Here is a 20,802-nt window from a genome sequence, read left to right on the forward strand (position 1 = left end):
GGATTGGTGATGGGGATGGAGTCGCGGCTGATGGCTGAACTCCTGCTTAGAGGAAAGTGAAGTTAGAGGGCAAGGCGGGGAGCTGAACCGGGTCAGGAGGCTTCAGAACGGGGGCTGGAAGGGACTCCATCAAAGCATGCACCCACCCCTCCTCAAAGAATGAACACCAGCCAGGTGCGCTGGCCCAGCCTGTAATCCCAGCACTTTGGGAGGCCGAGGTGGGCGGATCTCTTGAGGTCAGGAGTTCGAGACCAGCCTGGCCAACATGGTGAAACCCTATCTCTACTAAAAAGTTAAAAAATTAGCTGGGCGTGGTGGCTCGCACCTACAATCCCAGCACTTTGGGAGGCTGAGGCAAGTGGATCCCATGAGGTCAGGAGTTCGAGACTAGCCTGGCCAATGTAGAGAAAACCCATCTCTATTAAAAATACAAAAATTAGCCGTGCACGGTGGCTTGCTCCTGTAATCCCAGGTTCTTGGGAGGCTGAGACAGGAGAATCGCTTGAACCCGGGAGGTGGAGGTTGCAGTGAGCCAAGATCGCGCCACTGCACTCCATCCTGGGCGACAGAGCAAGACTCTGTCTCAAAAAATAAATAAATAAATAAATAATAAAACAATTAGCCTGGTATGGTGGTGTGTCCCTGTAGTCCCAGCTAATCAGGAGGCTGAGGCAGGAGGATTGTTTGAGCCTCAGGAGGCTACAAATAAACGCAGAGAAAGACTGCCTCCCTAGGTCAGCATAGAGTAGGACAAATAAACGCAGAGAAAGACTGCCTCCCTAGGTCAGCATAGAGTAGGGCCCGGAGGAGCTGGGTCCCTGGCAGAGAGGTGGGTCGGCTCATGGGCTGGTGGGGCCTGCCTGGGAAGCGGGCGTGCATGTCCAGGGGAATTTGCTGAGGGCTCGGTGGCTCCAGGGAGCCTCCGCAGCAAACTCCTTCCCTCTGACCCCAGTCCCTGCAGCTTGCCCTCCACGAGGCCTCCCGGGCTCTCCCGCTCCCCCCAACCTGCTCACAGGCCTTCCTGGAGCCCATTCACCGTGGCGGCAGAGCGCTGGTGATTAGCTGGGTGATGAGTAAACATTTGCTAAATGGGATTCTTGGCTTTTGCAAAGAACAGCCCCGGCAGGAGAGGAGGGGTGCGGTTGGTGGGAGGGGCTCTGGGGCTGGCTGATGGTCACAGCCCGCACAGGCAGAAGCGCCGGGGTGATCTGAGCTGCTCCGAAGTCAGGAGGGGCTGAGGGCGGCCGCGGCTGGGAAGCAGGGAGCGCAGGCCGTGGAATGCTTCCCAAGCTTGGAAGCAGCAGGTGTCTGGGAATGGGCCTGTGGCCCAGGCAGACTTCCAGCGAGCGCTCCAGCTTGCTGGCACCAGGGGAGGATCTGGCTGAGCCCAGGAGGCAAGTTTCCACCATGAAACCCACTGTTGAAGAACCGCGGCAAGGTTGCCACGGTCAGAAACCACGTGCCTATGGACAGGCTGGGGGGGGTGGGCGGGAGGACGACCAGGTCGGGGGGACCGCACAGCCCCTCCACTTCCACGGCAGAGTGGAGTCCCTGAGCAGAGTCCCCTGGGCCGCTCCCATACAGGGCGCGTCTCCCATGCCCTCAGCTGGGAGTGGTTTGTGGATACCCCAGACACAGTGCTGTTACCACCTCTAGCCCTACTCCCCACACTCTTCTCTGGGTGGCTCCTCATCCTCCAAGACTCATTGGAGTGTCACCTCTGCCTGGAAGCCCTCTCTGACTGCCCCCACCCAGCTGAGCTCCTCATTTTGGGGGCCGAGGGGTGCTACCACAAGCGCCAACTCCATACCAGTTGCGAATACTTGTTTCTACATCTAGGCTCTGAGCTCCTTTTGCCCCGAGCCACGTCTTCTCACGTTTATGTCCCCAGAGCCTGGCCAGTGGCTGGACACGGAGGTCCCTGATCAGCCCTTGTTGAATGAACTATGCAGAGCCAGCCAAGCTCTGGGGTCAGGGGAGGAGCTTGTGTGAAAGGCCTTAGAGACCACCAGTGGCCATCCAGCCCCTCCGACAGGGGTGGCTCTGTCCCCATCAGTCCACAGTGGAGGCCTTCAGTGGCCACCCAGCCCCTCCAACAGGGGTGGCTCTGTCCCCGTCAGTCCACAGTGGAGACCACCAGTGGCCACCCAGCCCCTCCAACAGGGGTGGCTCTGTCCCCATCAGTCCACAGTGGAGGCCTGTGTGGCAGGAGGGCTGGGAGGGAGAAGAGATGACTCCCTCTGGGGGTCCAGGGAAAGTGGGAAGATGGCAGCGGAGGGGTGGCCCCCGCCTCTGGGAAGACCACAGGAATCTGCATCTCCATGCCCTGAACCAGACGCAAGGGGCTGGAGCTGGCGAATAGAGAAGCTTTTGCCTCGCCCCTGACGCGTCCAGTTGCTTTGATGTTTGGGGCGATGGTGTCATCATAACTGCGTAGCATGAGCTGCTGAGTGACAACTGATGTCGTCTGCAACAGAGCTGCCTTGATTCCCCCTACCTCTTAGAGGAGAAAGCTGCTAAAAATACCTGGCGTCCTGGGCCCCCACTGCCTTGCCTCTAATAACAGTCGGCAACCAGAGACTGTGCTGTGCTTGACAGAAGCGGATCATTTATAAAACATTAGCATTTCTCGTACTGACATTTCACTTCCATATTACAGGACTTCCTAAGTCTTTTTTTAAAAAAAAAATTAATAAAGTGCTTAGACTCTTGATTTTCCCACTGAGGGCCTTGCTGTCTGAAGCTGGAAATGAAATCAACAACACAACAACATCCTTGGGTTCTAAGGGACAGCCAGGCCCTAGCACCTCGGCCTGGGTCAGAGCCTGCAGGCCACAGGGGAGCAGGTGCAGGCTGAGGATTCTTTGGTCTGCAGTCACTGGGCTCCCTTTAGTGAATGCCCCAAGCCTCATACTGAGGAGGATTTGTCCAGCCAGGCCTGAAAACACAGCCTTCCTCCCTCTATCCGGGGAACCCTCTCCTTTCTCTGAAGCCAGAGAGACGTGTGCAGTCTCCAAGCCCACCCACAGCTGTCCGGGTGGGTCCCTAGCCTCCTGGAAAACTCCTTGGGCCCCAGGTACTGACTGTTTCCTTGCAGCCGCCCGTCCCCACCAGCCGCCTGCCGGGCGCCCTGAGGATCAGTCACTTAGCCATTGCTCCGGAGACTCCCGGGAATAGGCCAGGAAGGACCCAGGACCAGCCTCCTCCGGGGAGAGCCACGGAGATGGTGCCGACCCGGGGCAGTCAGAATGTGGAAAGTGAATCATGATCTGTGCGGGCAAGGGAAGTGCCACGAAACGGAGCACCAGGGTGTGCGTGCTCTCATGTGTCCCGTGAATCAGTGCGCCCCTGCCCCCTGCGGCTCCTCCCGCCAACAAATGTGCTGTGTTCCCAGAGCTGTGCCCGGCCAGGCTCGCCCACCCACAGAAGCCCAGGATCTGCCACCTGTCGGGAATGCGGGGTTAGGAAATGAAAAACAGGGTTCTTGTCCAAGATCATTTATTGTTATTATTATTTTTCTCTCTTAATTGGATTCAGCGTTTCTGGCTCCTCACACACATCCTCTCTGGTGGGGGATTCAGGTTTGTGCAAAGCACAAAGGAGCTTGTACCCACCTGGGCCCCCGGCCAGCAGCACGGCCGGCTTTGATCGGAGCCCCTCTTCCCTGTCCGGGCTCGCCTGCCCCAGTCCCTGCTTCTGACCCCTGAGTCCGGCCTCCCGAGCCTCTGCCTGCACCCTGAGCATCCCCAGGACGGCTGGGAGGGCCAGGTCTTCCGTGATGCAGAAGTGCCTGAGATGGTTCATGAAATGCCCTCATTGTTCCCCTTCTGCTAAGGCCCCCGACGCCTCCCTCCTGCTGTCCCACACAGGGCCCTTGCTGGGTCACACACCAAACAGCCTCAAGGAAAAATTCAGCAGCTGAGCCGTGCGGGAGGCCTGGGCTCAAGCCCGGAGTCTCCTTGGCCCGTCCAGGCCGTCACTGACCAAACGCTAGGCTGACGACACGGTCCGACCCTTTGGACTAACACTGTGGATGCTGCCTGGCCTGCTGGTTTCCAGATCCCAAAGCCCCTTCCTTCCCCTTCTCCATCTCGCTCACCCTCGGGGCCTGGCTCCCTCATATACAATAAGCTGCTTCTCACTTCTCACCCTGAAGCCAACAGCTACGACAGCAGGGGTGACAGGGCGCTCCAGGGTGGCAGACAGGCTTGTGTTGCATATAAAAACAAGGTGATGCTCTAAATATCTAAGAATATTGGTCCCCCAAAGTGACTCTTGCTGCCTCCCCCTTCCTCACCGTCCCGCCGACACCTTGCCCCAGGCCCTTGGCAAGGCCAGGTCCCTTGGAGACTATCGTTGCCAGTTTGGGATTCTAGACAAAAATTCTATCACTTTGTTTTTGCTAGAAATCACCAATACAATCCTTAGTTCAGCAAATACAGTTTTCTGTATAGTTTATAAACATGAAAAGACGTACAGTTAGGTAACGGAGTGGGAGGGGGACTGTGCATTTGTGTATATATATATATATATATATATATATATATATATATATATATGTAGAGTGTGAATATATATAAGTGGACGTAGTTAGTTATAAAACTGCACCTTCTGTGAGAACCTCATTGCCCGGGATGAAGTTCTAGATTTCAGCCTCTGATGATCTTTCCTTTGGTAATTGGTTCTTGGACCCCAGCAGTTGGACCTGGGTCTGCCAGGGTTGCCTGAGACATCAGGAATGAGAGGCGCTACCCCCGAGGGAGGGGCTGAAGGTGGAGTAGGATAGAATTCAGGGCAGGGTGACTGGCCTCAGGCAAGAGCCAAGATGCCACCTGCTCGTGTGTGCCCAGACTGCTGGCCACCCAGCCTCGTGGGTGAGCCTCATTTGTTCTTCTCTGCGTCCTGCTTTCTCCAGGAACCACGGGGCCCTCCAGACCTCTCGGAACGATCGGGATTCCACAGAGCCCCGGTGCCGCCGTCGGGGGCAATTGTCCCACTGTTGCCAGTGGAGGATGCACTTGGAGTGCCTTTTCCCACCTTGCCAGAGTGGACACTGTCCGTGGGCGCTCTGCGGGGCTGGCTGGGACAGCCGGCTGAGAAGCGCCACCCCCTCCCGCCTAGGGCTGTACACTTTGGGTTTATAATCCACATGGCAGGGTCCAGACGTCCAGACAGCAGCCGAAGGCTCTACCAGCCTTTTCCTGAAACCCAGCAGATCTTCCACTTGTTAAAAAAAGAAGAAAATAAATTCTGTTCCTTGGTGGACATGTGGCAGTGCTGGGTGCTGACGCCCTGGGTCCTCAGCGGAGAGTGACCGCCAGCCCCAGTGTCCAGGCCAGGAGGGAGGCCCCCAGGGAACTGGCCGAGGAGGCCTGCTGCACCCCGCTGGGGGCACGGATGGGGGTCCTGCGGGCACACTTGCCCTTCCTCTTGGGCCGGGCCGTAGGCATGATGTCAAAACTGAACTTGTGCTGGTAGTCTGGGGCATAGTCTGGCAGCTCGGGGGCCTGTTTCCCGGCGCCCGCCTTAGAGATCTGATTGCGGTTCCTGGGGTTGGTGCAGTTCTTCCCCGGCTTCCTGTGGCCGGGCCGGGGGCCGTGCGGGTGGCCCTTGCTCCTGGTGGGGCCGTGGGGTGAGTGGTGTTCCTTGCGGGCGGCCCTGTCGGTGGTGGTGAGCGTGTGTGACTTGATCTGGTGCGGGGACGCTGGTCCCGTGCAGTTCCGGAAGTCCTCGGCCCTCAGCAGCTTCAGGTCCTGGCCGTGCCGCAGCCCAGGGGACACACAGGGGACAGCGGAGCTGGAGCCCCGGAACCTCTGCAGCCATTCCCACAGGGAGCGCGCGCGACAACCACAGTCCCAGGGGTTGCCGTTGAGGCGGAGGAACTCCAGGGCCCCCAGCGGGGCCAGGCACTCACCCTGCAGCTCCGAGAGGCTGTTGTTGAAGAGGAAGAGGGTGGTCAGCCTGCGGAGGTCGTGGAACGCCTTGTGGTGGACCCACTGCAGCTGGTTCTCGTGCAGCAAAAGACGGTCCAGGTTCACCAGGCCCCGGAAGGTGCCCGGGCCCAGACTCCACAGCTTGTTGCCGTGGAGAAACAGGTGGCTGAGGTTGACCAGGTCCACGAAGATGTCGTCCTGGAGGTACTCGATGTGGTTGTCCTGCAGGTAGAGGTACTGCAGGCTGTGCAGGCCGCCAAAGACGCCGGCCGGCAAGGCGCTGAGCCCACACTTGTAGAGGTAGAGGGCGTGAAGCTTCACCAGGCCCTGGAAGGTCTCGGGTGCCAGCGTCCGCAGCTGCCGGTTGTCGCCGAGGTCCAGCTCCTCCAGGTGCACGAAGCCCTCGAAGGTGCTGGGGTGGATGTAGGTGATGTTGTTCGAGTAGATCCACAGGGTGACCATGGCGGGGCTGAAGTGGCCGGGCTGGAGGAGGCCGATGCGGTTGTTCTGCAGGAAGACGCGCTCGCTGTCCACGGGGATGCCCTCCGGGATGGCTGCAAAGTTGTGCGCCTGGCAGCTGACCGTCATGGGCGCCGGGTAGCACACACAGTCCCGTGGGCAGCCACCACCCAGGGGCAGCTCCGCAGCTACCAACAGCAGCAGCAACTCCACACAGCACCCTGGCAGGGAGAGAGAGCACAGCCAGGTCAGGGGCCGTGCAGGTGAGGACTGGCACCGCACCCTCCGGCGCCCGCCGAGGACGCATCCTCGTCTTGGCTGAGCTCCGTGAGAGCCTTGTCCCTGGCTGGAGCAAGGCCAGGGTCAAGGCCCAAGCCTGGAACCCGTCGGGGATGAGAGGCCTCCCCTCCTTGGTGACCCACTTCTGCTGGGCTGGGAGGTGAGTCTGGGGTGAAGGCCCCAATCACCCCCACACCTCCTTAGTTCCACCCCACAGCTGCTGAGCCCCAGCCCCACCTGCTCCAGCTCTGTCACACTGCTGGGGTGTAGGTCATGACCCAGGGACACAGCCGTCAGCCTCCTGCTCTCCTCCTAGCTGTGCCGCTGGTTGTTGTTATCTGTGCTCACGGATATTGGGAAGGACTCTTGCTCTAATGTAGTAAATATCTCATGCAGAGTCCTGAAGAATCTCTATTTATTTATTTTTATTTTTTATTGAATTTAATTTTTTTTTTGAATGGAGTCTCACTCTGTTGCCCAGGCTGGAGTGCAGTGGCGGGATCTGGGCTCACTGCAACCTCCGCCTCCGGGGTTCAAGTGATTCTCTGCCTCAGCCTCCTGAGTAGCTGGGATTATAGGTGCGCACCATCACGCCCAGGTAGTTTTTGTATTTTTAGTAGAGACGGGGTTTCTCCATGTTGGCCAGGCTGGTCTCGAACTCCCCGCCTCAGGTGATCTGCCTTGGCCTCCCAAAGTGCTGGGATTACAGGTGTGAGCCACCGCGCCCGGCCAGAATCTCTTTATTTGAATCATTCCCAATTACAAGCACAGCATGCATGCGTGGCACCAAAGTTCACCTCAAATAATGTCTCCTTTACATTTACAGTGTCTTCCACATCCTCAAAACATACGGGCAACACCCCTTCTAAGCCTCAGTTTCCTCATTTCTGAAATACAGACATGGCCGGGCGCGGTGGCTCACGCCTGTAATCCCAACACTTTGGGAAGCCGAGGCAGGCGGATCACCTGAGGTCAGGAGTTCAACACCACCCTAGCCAACATGGTGAAACCCTGTCTCTACTAAAAACACAAAAATTAGCCGGGTGGCTACTCAGGAGGCTCAGTAGTACTCAGGAGGCTGAGGCAGGAGAATCGTTTGAACCTGGGAGGCGGAGGTTGCAGTGAGCTGAGATTGCACTACCACACTCCAGCCTGGGTGACAAAGTGAGATTCTGTCTCAAAAAAAATAAATAAATAAAATAAAGGCCGGGAGCAGTGGCTCACACCTGTAGTCTCAGCACTTTGGGAGGCCGAGGCGGGCGGATCACGAGGTCAGGAGATCGAGACCATCCTGGCTAACACGGCGAAACCCCGTCTCTACTAAAAATACAAAAAAATTAGCCGGGCGTGGTGGCGCGCACTTGTAGTCCCAGCTACTTGGGAGGCTGAGGCAGGAGAATAGCGTGAACCCGGGAGGTGGAGCTTGCAGTGAGCTGAGATCGTGCCACTGCACTCCAGCCTGGGCGACAGAGCGAAACTCCGTCTCAATAAATAAATAAATAAATAAATAAATAAATAAATAAATAAAATACAGACAATAGCAGTTCTCCCTGGCAGAGCTGTGTGGATGTCCTGAGAGGGCGCCTGTCTGTGAAGGTCTGGGGGTGGCACCAGCTGTCAGGCGAGGCTGCCCCAATCCCGGCCCACCTTCTGGCCACTCCCCTCTCCCACCTCACTCCAGCCTCCAGGCTGTGGTTGCAAAACCAGGCCTTGCCTCTCGACTGTCCAGAGCGTTTCCTCTGTAGCTTCCCTCTAATTGGGCATTAATTAGGCATTCGTTAATGGATCCTTAAAATAATTTATTTTCCGATGTGTCCAGCCTGTGGTCGGATAATAGCCCCGTGCTCATTATTGGAGCACCCTCATTACGGACGATCGTCATTACCTACCTTTTTCCAGGGTCCCAGCTGCCCCAGGCGGCCAGGCAGGCGCGCCGAGGTTGGGGGGCCGGCTCCAGGCCTCCAGGCCCCCACCCTGGAGGGCCAGGCAGCCATCTCCTCCCTACCCAGCTAGCCTCCAGCCCCTTTGCTTCTAGCTTTCCAGCCAGGCCTCATGGGAGAGCCGGGGCACCCAGGGCAGCTGAGTCTCTGCTGCAGCTGTACCCAGAGCTTGTGGGATGAGAGAACCAACCCTCTGGCCACTCTCGGGCCAGCCCTGCTCCCGGCCTCGTGCCGCTGCCTGCCCAGGCTCACGGCCCAGCAGGCCTCACCGCCACTGTCACCCCCTCGTTCCTGGCAGAAACAGCCTCGTAAATAAGTGACAGCTCCCAGCTGTTGGGAGTTATGGGCTCCCAGAGAGTGGCAGCTGCTTCCCGTCCCCTGTAATCACCCGGCTTCGACTGAACATTTCCAACACATAAAAATCATCGTACATAATTTGTTTTTTTTGCATAATTGGGCTCGGTTGCGAATTCAGAGGAATTATGACTTCAGCGGTGGCGGTGGCACAGCTTCAAGGACCCTTTCTGGGCCAAGCCGTGCTCTCTGTGCTCTCTGCAGTGACTTCTGTCCCGCCCAGTGCACAGCCCGCAGGCTGGGCCGAGGCTGCTGCTGTTTCCCCCTCCTACCTCAGTTTCCCCTCCTACCACACGTAGGAGATGATGGCAGTGTCCACCGTCTCCACTTGGAGGCTCAGATCTGGCTTCCAGCCCCTGCTGCCTGCCTCCATCTGCCCAAGGAGACCCAGCCTGCAGGGGGAGGCAGGGGTGTGTTGGGGGAGGAACCTGGGCTCCAAACCCCACTTGACTTTTGGGAAGCCTGCCCACTGCCTGAACCCTCCACACCCAGGGCTGGGAGGGGGCCCCAACCCACACCAGCTGCACCTTCCACAGAGCCGACACTCCCCGTCTCTCTCAGCTCACACTCCTCACCCCTCCTCGGGCTGCTACCCTCCAGGAAGGTGCTTCCCGCACCTGTAGGAAGCTTCCTCCCCCAGGGAGCCGCCCCGCTCTGCCACCCTGAGGGAGCCAGGGTGCCCCTCCTAGCTCAAGGGTGTTCATGGTGTTCACTGCTTCTCATCCCACATCTCAGGCTTTTGGGGACGGGGCCACAGCCAGGCCATTCTGCAAAGACAAAGCCATTTCGTCCCTTGGGCTGCAGCAAGAGAGGCCTTGCGGCAGGGGGACGGGGTGATATGTGTCCGGCTCAGCGCTAATCCCACTCGACATTTGCACAGCTTACTGGAGTTTACAAAGTGCTTCTGCTCACACTCCCCTGAGCCTCAGGACTACCCGGTGTGCTGGGGTGTGGGGAGCCCTCCTTCACCCACTGTGTGGCTATCTCTGTAAGGTCCAGGATGCAGTTCTCTGAAATGACACCCGGAGAAGCTAATAGCGGGTCCCACGGAGAGACATTTCCCCGTCAGACACAAAGCAGGTGCCTCCAAGGGATGTCAGGAAACAGGGGACACCAGGCAAGGACCCCAGTTTAGGTGAAAAAGCCAAATGGCCCCCACATCCAGGAGTGGGCTTGGTACGTGGCTCGTGGGTGTGCCGTGGGTGGGAGGGGTCAGAGAGCAGGGGTGGAGTGAAGACCCAGGGCAGGAACCCTCCTGCCCCTCCTCTGAGAGGGCTCCAGGCTTGGTGCAGGGCCTGGCTCACATTCCCGGTCTCAAGGAAGAACAAGCCATTGTATCAGGGGCCTGGGGCGGGGGCCGGGCAACAAGCCACAGGCACCAGTGTGGGCAGCCCCTCCCGTCCCAGTGCCTGAGGATGGTGGAGGGCCCCTCGGGGGCCAGGCGGTGGGGGGGGATCCGAGCCCGGGGGAGTGCTCACCGACCTTGGGTACTGCCCAGATGCAGGGGACCCACCCCAGGGAAGCTGTCCTTCCAGGCACCCCTGCCCCTCCTCCTGGAGAGTAGGGATGTCTCTGCTGAGTGCTTCTGCACGCTGGAAGTTGGTCCCATCTCCAAGACCTGGACCAGCTGTCCCAGCTGGCCCCGCCGCCTCTGGTACCCCCTGCCAGAGCCAGTGGGTGCCCCAGTCTTGGACGGTCCCCCTGCTGGGTTTCTCCCAGGGAGGCTGGCGCAGCTTTGCCACGGCTCCTCTCATGCCCCTCCATGCAGCCCTTGGGAGCCCCGACCCGCTGATTGCCTGATTAATGTGCAGAAGTGAGGCCCGAGCCTTGGCGGTGCATTTTAAGATTGCAAATTAGCAGGGATCAGACTCTCTCCGGAGGAGCCCTGCACCCCTCCCACCAGCCTCCTCGTCCCCTCCTGGGTGGGCCAGGGGTGGCTCTGCCAGAGGGGGCTGAGGAGAGCAAGGCCGGGCCTCCCCCAAAACTCCCCCAAGCTTTCCCTGGGGGAGTCCCCCTGCTCCTCCTCTCCTCCAGGGGCACGTGCTCGGCTGACTGCTCGGGTATCCCCAAACCTCCTGGCCTCCCACATGCCTGAGCTCACCCGCATCTCTGAGGCCTCATTCATTCCCTCCTCCATTCAACACTTGCTGCCTGAGCCCCGGGGTGTGGGGGGTGCCAGTGGGGAGGGCCCAGAATGACTGGGTGGGGGGATACGGAGGATCCTCATGGCTCACTAGCAGATGGGGGGGCTCACTAGGAGATGGGGGCTCCCAAGAGCAGGCAGTCTGGCCAGGTGCTGGGGCCTAGGGTAGGCCCCTGGAGGTGTGTGTGGGAAGTGGGGGTGCTCAGGAAAGACCCCTGCCATCCCCGTGCCACCTGCCAACATTGTTCCGTCACCTCCTGGAGTATGAATCTGGGAACCAGGGAGAAGGGTCCCTGCCTCACAGGGTTGCCTTAGGATTCCAGCCAGCACAGAGGAGGCAAGGAGAGCTGTGTTGTGTTCAGGTCCTCCTTTCTGCAAATCCCCAAGTCCCTGCTTGCTGGTCAGGGAGCATGGGGGCAGCTCAGGCGGGTGGCCTGAGCACGGGAAGCCACCCTACCCGGTCCGCTCAGCAGCCCCAGATGTGCCTACAAGTTGTCCTGTGAGGCCACACCTGCCAGGATGGTGGGAAGGGAAAGGCAATGGCCACAGCCCGTGCGAAGGCCCTGCAGTGGGAAGGGGGCGACGTGCCCCTTCCTACCCTGGCTCTGTCTCTCAGGCTCTAAGTACACAGAGCCTCCAAGGAGGCTGTAACCTCAGCTCAGCTGGGCTGGGGGAACCCAGAGCCAGGATGGCCAGAGATGTCCCCAGTGGGACCAGCCCTCACAGGGCCCTTGCCCCAGGCCCAGGCCGGCCAGCCACAGCTGGTCATTGTGGAGGGCACTCTGCAGCTTCCCGGCCCCTGGAAGCAGGACAGGACCAACCAAGGCGGACCCAGCCCTAACTGTGTACCAGAGTCCTCAGGACAGCCCCCATTTCACAAAGGAGGAAACGAGGCCCACCAGGGTAAGGCACCGGCCACGGCACATGGCTGGCGACAGGGCAGCGAGCAGGCCTCAACCCAGCTGACTGCAAGTCCAGGGCTCTGCCCCCAGCTCCATCCTGCACGTGGTGGGCAGGGCGTCCTCCACGAAGGGCTGGTTGGCCCTCATAGGCCCCAGAGCCTCGAGCTGCTCACCCCAACTTGCCAGCACCGAAGGGACTGCCCCTCCCTGTGCCTGAGCAGGGCTGGCCCCATGGCTGGTATCCCCGCAGCCCCCTGGGCAGGGCCGTGGGGCTCTCTGGGTCTTGGAGACCGGTAAGATCCCTCTGGCTCTGCAGCCCTCCCTCTCTCCCCCTCCCCGCTTTCCCAGTCCTGGCAGATTGGCAGATCCTCCTCTCTATGCCAGTCGATGCTAACCCAATGCTCTCTGCTGGTCAGATAACAGCCTCAGGCCAGGCCGGCTGCACTTGGGGCTGCTGGCGCCTTAGGCTACTTGGCACTGTCCCTCCATGCTGCACCCAAGCACAGGCCACTTCCTGGTGGGCCCATCATCCCCTCTGCAGCCCCGCCTGGAGCCTGGCTCAGCCCTGGAGACATGGAAGCCAGCCAGCGCACAGCTGGGCTTCCCTCGTCCTATTGCTGGACGTGGGGCGTGGGGTGTGCAGGATGGGCAGGGGCTCCTTGTCCATGGCATAGGGCATTGGAAAGAGCACAAGCTTTGGAGCCAGAGAGACCTGAGTTTGAATCCTATTTTTTTTTTAAGACACGGTCTTGCTCTGTCGCCTGGGCAGGAGTGCAGTGGCACAATCATAGCTCACTGCAACCTCAACCTCCTGGGCTCAGGAGATCCTCCCACCTCAGCCTCCCAGACAGCTTGGAATATAGGCCCACACCACCACGCTCCGTGAATTTTTTATTTTTTGTAGCAATAGGATCTCACTATGTTCCCCAGGCTGGTCTTGAACTCCTGGGCTCGGCCTCCCGAAGTGCTGGGATTACAGGCGCGAGCTACCTCGCCCAGCCCTGGATCCTCAACTTAACCGGTGTGTCCCCACGCTTGTGTGAGCCTCATCTTCCTCACCTGCAAAATGGGGCAGTCATTTAAAGCTCCAGCGTGGCCCTCTTGTCTGCGGACGTCGGCCTCCCCCACATCTCCATCTGTCACACGAAAGCCTCCCAAACTGAGCTCTGCTCTTCCCCCACAAGCCTCCTCCACTCGCATATAATCCATCTCAGTCAGACGCAGCGCCTTCATTTCAGCTTCTCCGGCCAAACACCTTAGAAATATTTTAGACAGAGTCTCGCTCTGTCCCCCAGGCTGGAGTGCAGTGGTGCGATCTCGGCTCACTGCAACTTCCAACCTCCTGAGTTCAAGTGATTCTCCTGCCTCAGCCTCCTGAGTAGCTGGGATTACAGGTGCCCACCACCACACCCGGCTAATTTTTGTATTTTTAGTAGAGACGGTGTTTCGTCATGTTGGCCAGGCTGGTCTCAAACTCCTGACCTCAGGTGATCTGTTCACCTTGGCCTCCCAAAGTGCTGGGATTACAGGCATGAGCCACCGTGCCCGGCCAACTTCAAAATGTATTACGCAACTACCCACTTCTCATGGCCACCACCCTAGTCTGGGCAACCATCACCTCTCACCTGGACTATTGCAATAGGCTCCTAAGTGGTCCCTCTGCCCCAACCTCGCCCCTGTATCTCATCTGACACAGTAGGCAGGGAGATCCAGCACCCCTCTGTGGCTCCCATCTCTCTCAGTAAGGTCCCTCCAAGTCTGTTCTGTGGCCCAGAGGCCCAGTTGGATCTGAGCTGCCACCCCCTCCTTCCCTCCCCAGCCGCAGTGGCCTCCCTGATACACCCTATTCACGCCAGGGATGCTCCACCTCTAGCCTTTTGCACGTGCTGTTCCCTCTGCCTGGAGCGCTTCCCAGGGTGTCTGGGGGACTCCTGCCCTCACCCCACCATTCGCAGCTGTCCCTGCCTCTTCCTCAGGTGCCCCAAGTCCCCTGAGGCCTTGTCTGAGCAACCTGGTGGTTTTGTTTTTTGTTTTCTGTGACAGAATCTCACCTATCACCCAGGCTGGAGTGCAGTGGCACGATCTCAGCTCACTGTAACCTCCACCTCCCGGGTTCAAGCGATTCTCTCGCCTCATCCTCCTGAGTAGTTGGGATTACAGGTGCCCGCCACCATGCCCGGCTAATTTTTGTATTTTTAGTAGAAATGGGGTTTCACCATGTTGGCCAGGCTGGTCTTGAACTCCCAACCTCTTGATCCACCGCCTTGGCCTCCCAAAGTGCTGGGATTACAGGTGTGAGCCACTGCGCCCAGTCTTTTTTTAAAAAATAGAGATGGGGTTTCACTATGTTGACCAGGCTTGTTTCAAACTCCTGGCCTCAAGCAATCCTCCCACCTGGGCCTCCCAAAGTGCTGGGATAACCGTTGTGAGCCACCACGCCCGGCCGCCCTGCTTCACTTTACCCCACAGCATTCCCCCTCTTCTAATACACTACGTGATTTCCTTATTTTTCTTATTGACTTTCCATCTCTCCGCACTGAGTGTATGTTGACTCCGTGAGGACGGTGGTTTTGCCTGCTGTGTTCTCCGCAGTACCCTCAGGGCCCAGAACACTGGCATCCAGCAGGTGACCTGTCACAATGGCTGGATGAAGGAAGAATCTTTCTGAGTCAGCAGGGGGACTGAGAGATGCTGCTCAGGAAGCCCTAGGCCCAGGGCCTGGCTCCTAGCAGGCGCTCCATAAACAGAGGGGCGCTTACCCAAAGCGAGGAGACTCAGAGCCTCCAGGGTGAGAGCAGAGACTAGGCCCTGGCTCTATCTGGAGGCTTCCTGGTCAATCACGGGGTGACCACACGGTGAGGAGAGCTCTGGGAAGGAGGATCCAGCCCCAGGCCAGCCAGAGGCCCAGGGCAGGGTGACCAGGGCAGGTTTGCCTGGGACAGAGGGGTTTTCCAGGATGTGTGGGACTTTCAGTGCTAAAACCAGGACAGTCCCAAACAAACCAACCAACCAGGACAGGTCAGTCATCCAGGTCATTCAGGTCAGGCAAATCCAAGCCTGTGCCTCCCTCAACAAAAACCTCTGAATGCAGGAAGGGGAGGGGCACACAGGCAGGCACAAGGCACGTGTCTTCTCAAACACCATGCGTCCCGCTCAGTCCCTGCAGCCAGGAGGCCGGCCTGGGCCCAGACTGAGCCTGTGCGTGGTGTGTGTACCTGTGTGTCATGGGCATGTGTACGTGTGTGCACAGGGTCTGTGTCCATCTATGTTGAATGTGTGTCTGTGGGTGCACGGGGTCTGCGTGGATCTATGTGTGATTGTGTGTCTGTGTGTGCATGGCAAATGTGTGTGTCTCTGTGTGAATGTGTGTGTGTGCACGGGGTCTGTGTGCATCTATGTTGAATGTGTGTCTGTGTGCACGTGTGTCTGTGCATCTCTGTGTGAATATGTGTGTGTGCATGTGTGTCTGTGTGCATCTCTGTGAATGTGTGTGTGCACGGGGTCTGTGTGTGTCTCTGTGTGAATATGTGTGTGCACGGGGTCTGTGTGGATCTATGTGTGATTGTGTGTCTGTGTGTGCATGGCGAATGTGTGCGTCTCTGTGTGAATTGTGTGTGCACGGGGTCTGTGTGCATCTATGTTGAATGTGTGTCTGTGTGCACGTGTGTCTGTGTCTCTGTGTGTGCACGTGTGTCTGTGTATGCACGTGTGTCTGTGTGCATCTCTGTGTGAATGTGTGTGTGCACGGGGTCTGTGTGCGTCTCTGTGTGAATGTGTGTGCATGGGGCCTGTGTGCATCTCTGTGTGAATGTGTCTGTGTGTGCACATGTGTCTGTGTGCGTCTCTGTGAATGTGTCTGTGTGTGCACGGGGTCTGTGCGTGTCTCTGTGTCAATGTGTGTGTGCGCACGGGGTCTGTGTGTGTCTATGTTGAATGTGTGTCTGTGTATGCACGGGGTCTGTGTGCGTCTCTGTGTGACTGTGTGTCTGTGTGTGCACGTGTGTCTGCGCACGCACGCTTGTGTGCTCATGTACCTGGGCGGGCCTGTGTTTACATGTGTGTGCACAGCTGAGTGCACGTGCAAAGCCGATGCATGTGTGCAAATACACAGGTATGCACACAGAAACACATGCCTGTCTCGGGACTGTGGATAGGGTGGCGGCCCGGCCCCCTTCACCCTGCAGCGTGCCTCGCTCACCCTCCTGAAAAGGGAGCGGGGCCCTGTTCTGGGCAGAGCCACCCATCCCAGGTCTTATCTCGGCACTGGCTCTGGTTTGCCTTCAACTCCCGCCCTCCTCCCGACACGCTGAATTATGTACCCACTCCAGGTCCCTCCAGCACGCCAGGATCGCTCTCAGCTGAGAAGTGGGCGGCCCCTTATTGGAATAGCCTTTCAGCTTTCATCTGCCTCGCTGGGCCCCTGGAGCAGGCCTGGCTGGGAATGCCGTGCTAATTAGGCCGCCACATTCTCAGGGGGCCTTGTCGGAGCCACCCCCAGCTCCCCTACCCTCTGCCCATCGGGTCTCCGGTCTCCTTGCTGTGAAGGTCTCGCATGGGGTGGGGGCTGGACGCTGGCACTCTGACAGCTCTGGACCCACGTACTGCCCAGGCTTGAGACCGGCCCCCGTGGCAGCACATTGCAGTGGGATGACCTTGGGACAGGCGCTCAGTCCTGAGGTCTGGGAACTGCGGGTCAGAGCGGCTGGCTCCTCAGGTGCACTCAGTGGGACAGGGCTGGTTGTACGGGTGGCCCTCCCTAAGCCGTGATGATTACGTTACTGCTAGTGTTACCAGAGGGAGCTGCCCCCACTCCTGCTTAGGGCTCTCCCAACCCCCAGTGGACCCTGGACCCTGGATTTCACTCCACCCACCCTGATGCACCCAACCCGCCGCAGAAAGACCTGACATATCAGATGCCGAGAAGGGGCTTTAGCCCAGGGCTGAGGGTCCCTGCCAGGCTACGGCTGCAGGTGGAAACAGCGCACTGACCTCTCTACTGGGCCCTCTCTCCCCATCGAGCCAGCCCCACCTGGTCCTGGCAGTGCTCTGCAGGAAGCCCAGGGCCCGTGGCCTCTATTTCCACCTCCTGTAGCCCCTGCTTTCCAGGGCTCATAAAATGTGTCCCGTTATGCAAATTTGCTCCCAGGTTTGGGGGCCCCAGAACCTGAGTTGTGGCAGCGCAGACTCCAGGGCTGAAGGCCGAGGGCTTCTGAGAGCTTGCCCTTCCCAGGAGGTTTCAGTGAAGGCTCTGGGCCCTGCGTCTGAGCTTGGCACCTTGTGGAGCCAACTGCCCCTCCCCCAAAGCTACAGCTAATTGTGGACCACCCACTGCCGGACAGGCAGACAGGCAGACAGGCAGACACAGGCAGACAGGCGGACACAGGCGGACGGGCAGACACAGGTGGACGGGCGGACGGGCGGATGGGCCCACCAAGTCCTCAGTGATACCATAGGTGTGTTTAGTGGGGCAGGGGTTACCTCCGTGGCGACGAGACCGTCCTCGGTGGCAAATGTCTGTTTGTGATGCCTGCCTGGGGGTCCAGGAGGGGTGTGAGGGGGAGGGCGTGGGGTGGGGACCTACTGTTTTCTTTTCTTTTTCTTTTTTTTTTTTGAGACAATCTCAGTCGCCCAGGCTGGAGTGCAGTGGTGAAATCTTGGCTCACTGCAACCTCCGCCTCCTGGGCTCAAGTCATTCTCCTGCCTCAGCCTCCTGAGTAGCTGGGATTACAGGCACCTGCCACCACGCCTGGCTAATTTTTGTTTTTTTTTGAGACGGAGTCTCGCTCTGTCGCCCAGGCTGGAGTGCAGTGGCATGATCTCGGCTCACTGCAAGCTCCGCCTCCCGGGTTCAAGGCATTCTTCTGCCTCAGCCTCCAGAGTAGCTGGGACTACAGGCGCCTGCCACGACACCTGGCTAATTTTTTTTTTTGTATTTTTAGTAGAGACGGGGTTTTCTTGTGTTAGCCAGGGTGTTCTCAATCTCCGAACCTCATGATCTGCCCGCCTCGGCCTCCCTAAGTGCTGGGATTACAGGCGTGAGCCACCGTGCCTGGCCTAATTTTTGTATTTTTAGTAGAGACGGGGTTTCACCATGTTGGCCAGGCTGGTCTCCAACTCCTGACCTCAGGTAATCCGCCCGCCTCAGCCTCCCAAAGTGCTGGGATTACAGGCGTGAGCCACAACGCCTGGCCAAGACCCACTGTTCTTGAAGGCCCTGGTGCTCACGGGCAGGCCAAGGTGTCAACAATGCAAAACAGGAGCTGGGAGCCTGCCTTTGAGAAGCAGGTGCAGAACGCCCTGCCAGGGTCCTTGTTCCCCAGCCCCGAAGACCCGCCCCTTCCCTGCGATCAGTGAAAGGCATTCAGAACCGGCATCTAGAGCTCTGAGCGCAGCCCAGATCCTGTCCATCACCCGGTTCTGAATCTATCCCCACTCCTTCATTCACGAGAGTGACTGAGCTCCGGGTTTGCTTCCACAGCAGCAAGAGGCTCGGCTCCTTCCCTCCTGGGGCCTACATTCTCCTGGGGGTGCAGTCAAAATAAAGGAACCAGATAAGCCCCAAATGACGGATCATGGTAAGTGCTGGGGACAAAAAGGGTTGAGATAGAGACAAAGGAAGGGACCTATCTTAGCTGTGTGCTCTTGGAGGGCCTCCCTCCCTGGGCGACTTCTGAATTGAAACCTAAAAGATAAGAAGGAGCTGAGGAACAGCATTCCAGGCAGAGGGCACAGCAGGTGCAAAGGCCCTGAGGCAGGACTGAGCTTGGCTTGGACAAGGGCAGAGGGGCAGGAGATGGGGTCAGAACAGCAGGAGCCAGGCCTCGTATGGCCTGAAACACCACCAGAAAGGGTTTGGATCTAATTCTGAGTGTGATGAGAAGTCACTGAAGAGCCCGGGGCGGGAGCAACAGGATTGGGTTTGGATTTGGGAGGTTGCATTTGGAGGGTGAGTTGGGGGGGAGCAAGGAGGGAGGCCTGTGGCCGTGAGAGACCTTGGGGGCCTGAAGAGGGCAGGGGCCATGGAGACAGACAGTGCTGAATGGACCGGACAGATGCCAGGATGGGGCCCGACAGGACACACTGACGGATCAGGGTGAGGGAGGCGACGGGGGTCACGGGGCGGCTTCCCAAGTCTATTCCAGAAGACGGACAGGATGAGGGTATCACTATGAGACTGGAGGAATAAAACAGGAAAACCGGCTCAGGGCAGCCAGGGCACAGCTGAGGATGCATAACGTCCGAGAAGCCTTAGAGAGATGTTTAGTTGGCTGCAGCTGGAAGTACAAAACTGAAGCCCAGAGGTTGGCTGTACACTCAAGAGCTGTCGGCACAGAGCGGGCGTGTAAATTGGTGGGAATGAAGCCGGGGCAGCAGCTCACGCCTGGAATCCCAGCACTTTGGGAGGCTGAGGCAGGTGGATCACTTGAGTTCAGGAGTTTGAGACCAGCCTGGTCAACATGGTTAAACCTCATGTCTACTAAAAATACAAAAATTAGACGGGTGTGGTGGCGCGCACCTGTAATCCCAGCCACTTGGGAGGCTGAGGCTGAGAATCGCTTGAACCCCCAAAGCAGGGGTTGCAATGAGCTGAGGTCACACCCCCGCACTCCAACCTGGGCGACAGAGTGAGACACAGTCTCCAAAAAAAAAAAAAAAAAAAAAAAAAAAAGGCTACTTGGCAACATACTGAGACTCTCTCTCTCTCTCTGTCTCTCTTTCTCTGTGTGTGAAAGGAAGTTTGTTAAGAAAGTAAAGGAACTAAAGAATAGCTACTCCATGGCTGGGCGCGGTGGCTCACGCCTGTAATCCCAGCACTTTGGGAGGCTGAGGAGGGTGGATCACGAGGTCAGGAGATCGAGACCATCCTGGCTAACACGGTGAAACCCCATCTCTACTAAAAATACAAAAAATTAGCCAGGTGTGGTGGTGGGTACCTGTAGTCCCAGCTACTCGGGAGGCTGAGGCAGGAGAATGGCATGAACCTGGTAGAAGGAGCTTGCAGTGAGCCAAGATCACGCCACTGCACTCCAGCCTGGGCGACAGAGCGAGACTCCGTCTCAAAAAAAAAAATATTAAATTTTATTAACAAAAAATAGTAAACAAACAGGATTGAGGCTTTTCGCGACACAATGCTTTTGTGGAGGGGAAAGGAGGAGTCAGCCAAGGAGAAGGAACCGCCAGTAAGGTGAGAGGAAACCAGGAAAGTGTGGCTTTACCGAAGCCACAAAGTTTTTTTTGTTGTTTTTTTGTTTGTTTGTTTTTTTGGGACAGAGTCTCGCTCTGTCTCACAGGCTGGAGTGCAGTGGTGCGATCTCGGCTCACTGCAACCTCTGCCTCCGAGTTCAAGCGATTCTCCTGCCTCAGCCTCCTGAGTAGCTGGGATTACAGGCACACGCCACCACACCTGGCTAACTTTTGTATTTTTAGTAGAGATGGGGTTTCACCACATGTTGGTCAGGCTGGTCTCGAACTCCTGACCTCAGGTGATCCAGCTGCCTCGGCCTCCCAAAGTGCTGGGATTACAGGCGTGAGCCACCGCGCCCGGCCCGAAGCCACAAAGTTTTTCAGGAAGAGGGATAATCAACTGTGATGAGGACTGCCGAAGACTAACGTGAGGACAGAGAAGCGCCCCACTGATTTGGCGACTTGGAGGCCACTGGAAAGTTCCTTCCTGGCAGAAAGGCGGAGGCAGAAGGCATATGGAGTGGGATGAAGATCGAATGTGAGTGAGGTGGGGGAGCCAGGACAGGCGGGTGGTGCTGAAATCACGAGGGACTCAGAATTCTAATGGC

The 20,802-nt window shown here is 58.0% G+C and overlaps 1 protein-coding gene across 1 annotated transcript in view, besides 6 other annotated features; it reads right to left on the minus strand.

Annotated features, from left to right (window-relative positions):
• Window positions 457–1,022: an enhancer, noted in NCBI's record as "H3K4me1 hESC enhancer chr17:1834946-1835511 (GRCh37/hg19 assembly coordinates)". NCBI's record gives its function as "activates a minimal SCP1, AML or CMV promoter by ChIP-STARR-seq in naive H9 embryonic stem cells {active_cell/tissue: H9 hESC(naive)}" and the evidence as "EXISTENCE:reporter gene assay evidence [ECO:0000049][PMID:30033119]".
• Window positions 1,023–1,587: an enhancer, noted in NCBI's record as "H3K4me1 hESC enhancer chr17:1835512-1836076 (GRCh37/hg19 assembly coordinates)". NCBI's record gives its function as "activates a minimal SCP1, AML or CMV promoter by ChIP-STARR-seq in naive H9 embryonic stem cells {active_cell/tissue: H9 hESC(naive)}" and the evidence as "EXISTENCE:reporter gene assay evidence [ECO:0000049][PMID:30033119]".
• The window catches only part of RTN4RL1 (reticulon 4 receptor like 1), a 90,658-nt gene continuing 73,337 nt past the window's right edge, over window positions 3,482–20,802 (minus strand). Inside the window, exon 2 of the mRNA NM_178568.4 lies at window positions 3,482–6,613. Coding sequence (NP_848663.1) covers window positions 5,301–6,613 — 1,313 coding nt within the window. The 3' untranslated portion in view covers window positions 3,482–5,300. The remainder of the gene's footprint in view (window positions 6,614–20,802) is intronic.
• Window positions 11,969–12,160: a silencer, noted in NCBI's record as "fragment chr17:1846458-1846649 (GRCh37/hg19 assembly coordinates)". NCBI's record gives its function as "represses an EF-1alpha promoter that drives an FKBP-Casp9 reporter gene in an ReSE screen in phorbol 12-myristate 13-acetate-treated (for megakaryocytic differentiation) K562 erythroleukemia cells {active_cell/tissue: K562(+PMA)}" and the evidence as "EXISTENCE:reporter gene assay evidence [ECO:0000049][PMID:32094911]".
• Window positions 14,927–15,485: an enhancer, noted in NCBI's record as "H3K4me1 hESC enhancer chr17:1849416-1849974 (GRCh37/hg19 assembly coordinates)". NCBI's record gives its function as "activates a minimal SCP1, AML or CMV promoter by ChIP-STARR-seq in naive H9 embryonic stem cells {active_cell/tissue: H9 hESC(naive)}" and the evidence as "EXISTENCE:reporter gene assay evidence [ECO:0000049][PMID:30033119]".
• Window positions 16,656–17,159: an enhancer, noted in NCBI's record as "H3K4me1 hESC enhancer chr17:1851145-1851648 (GRCh37/hg19 assembly coordinates)". NCBI's record gives its function as "activates a minimal SCP1, AML or CMV promoter by ChIP-STARR-seq in naive H9 embryonic stem cells {active_cell/tissue: H9 hESC(naive)}" and the evidence as "EXISTENCE:reporter gene assay evidence [ECO:0000049][PMID:30033119]".
• Window positions 17,160–17,661: an enhancer, noted in NCBI's record as "H3K4me1 hESC enhancer chr17:1851649-1852150 (GRCh37/hg19 assembly coordinates)". NCBI's record gives its function as "activates a minimal SCP1, AML or CMV promoter by ChIP-STARR-seq in naive H9 embryonic stem cells {active_cell/tissue: H9 hESC(naive)}" and the evidence as "EXISTENCE:reporter gene assay evidence [ECO:0000049][PMID:30033119]".

This window comes from Homo sapiens, chromosome 17, assembly GCF_000001405.40.
Source record: "Homo sapiens chromosome 17, GRCh38.p14 Primary Assembly".
In the NCBI taxonomy this organism is placed as follows: Eukaryota; Metazoa; Chordata; class Mammalia; order Primates; family Hominidae; genus Homo; species Homo sapiens.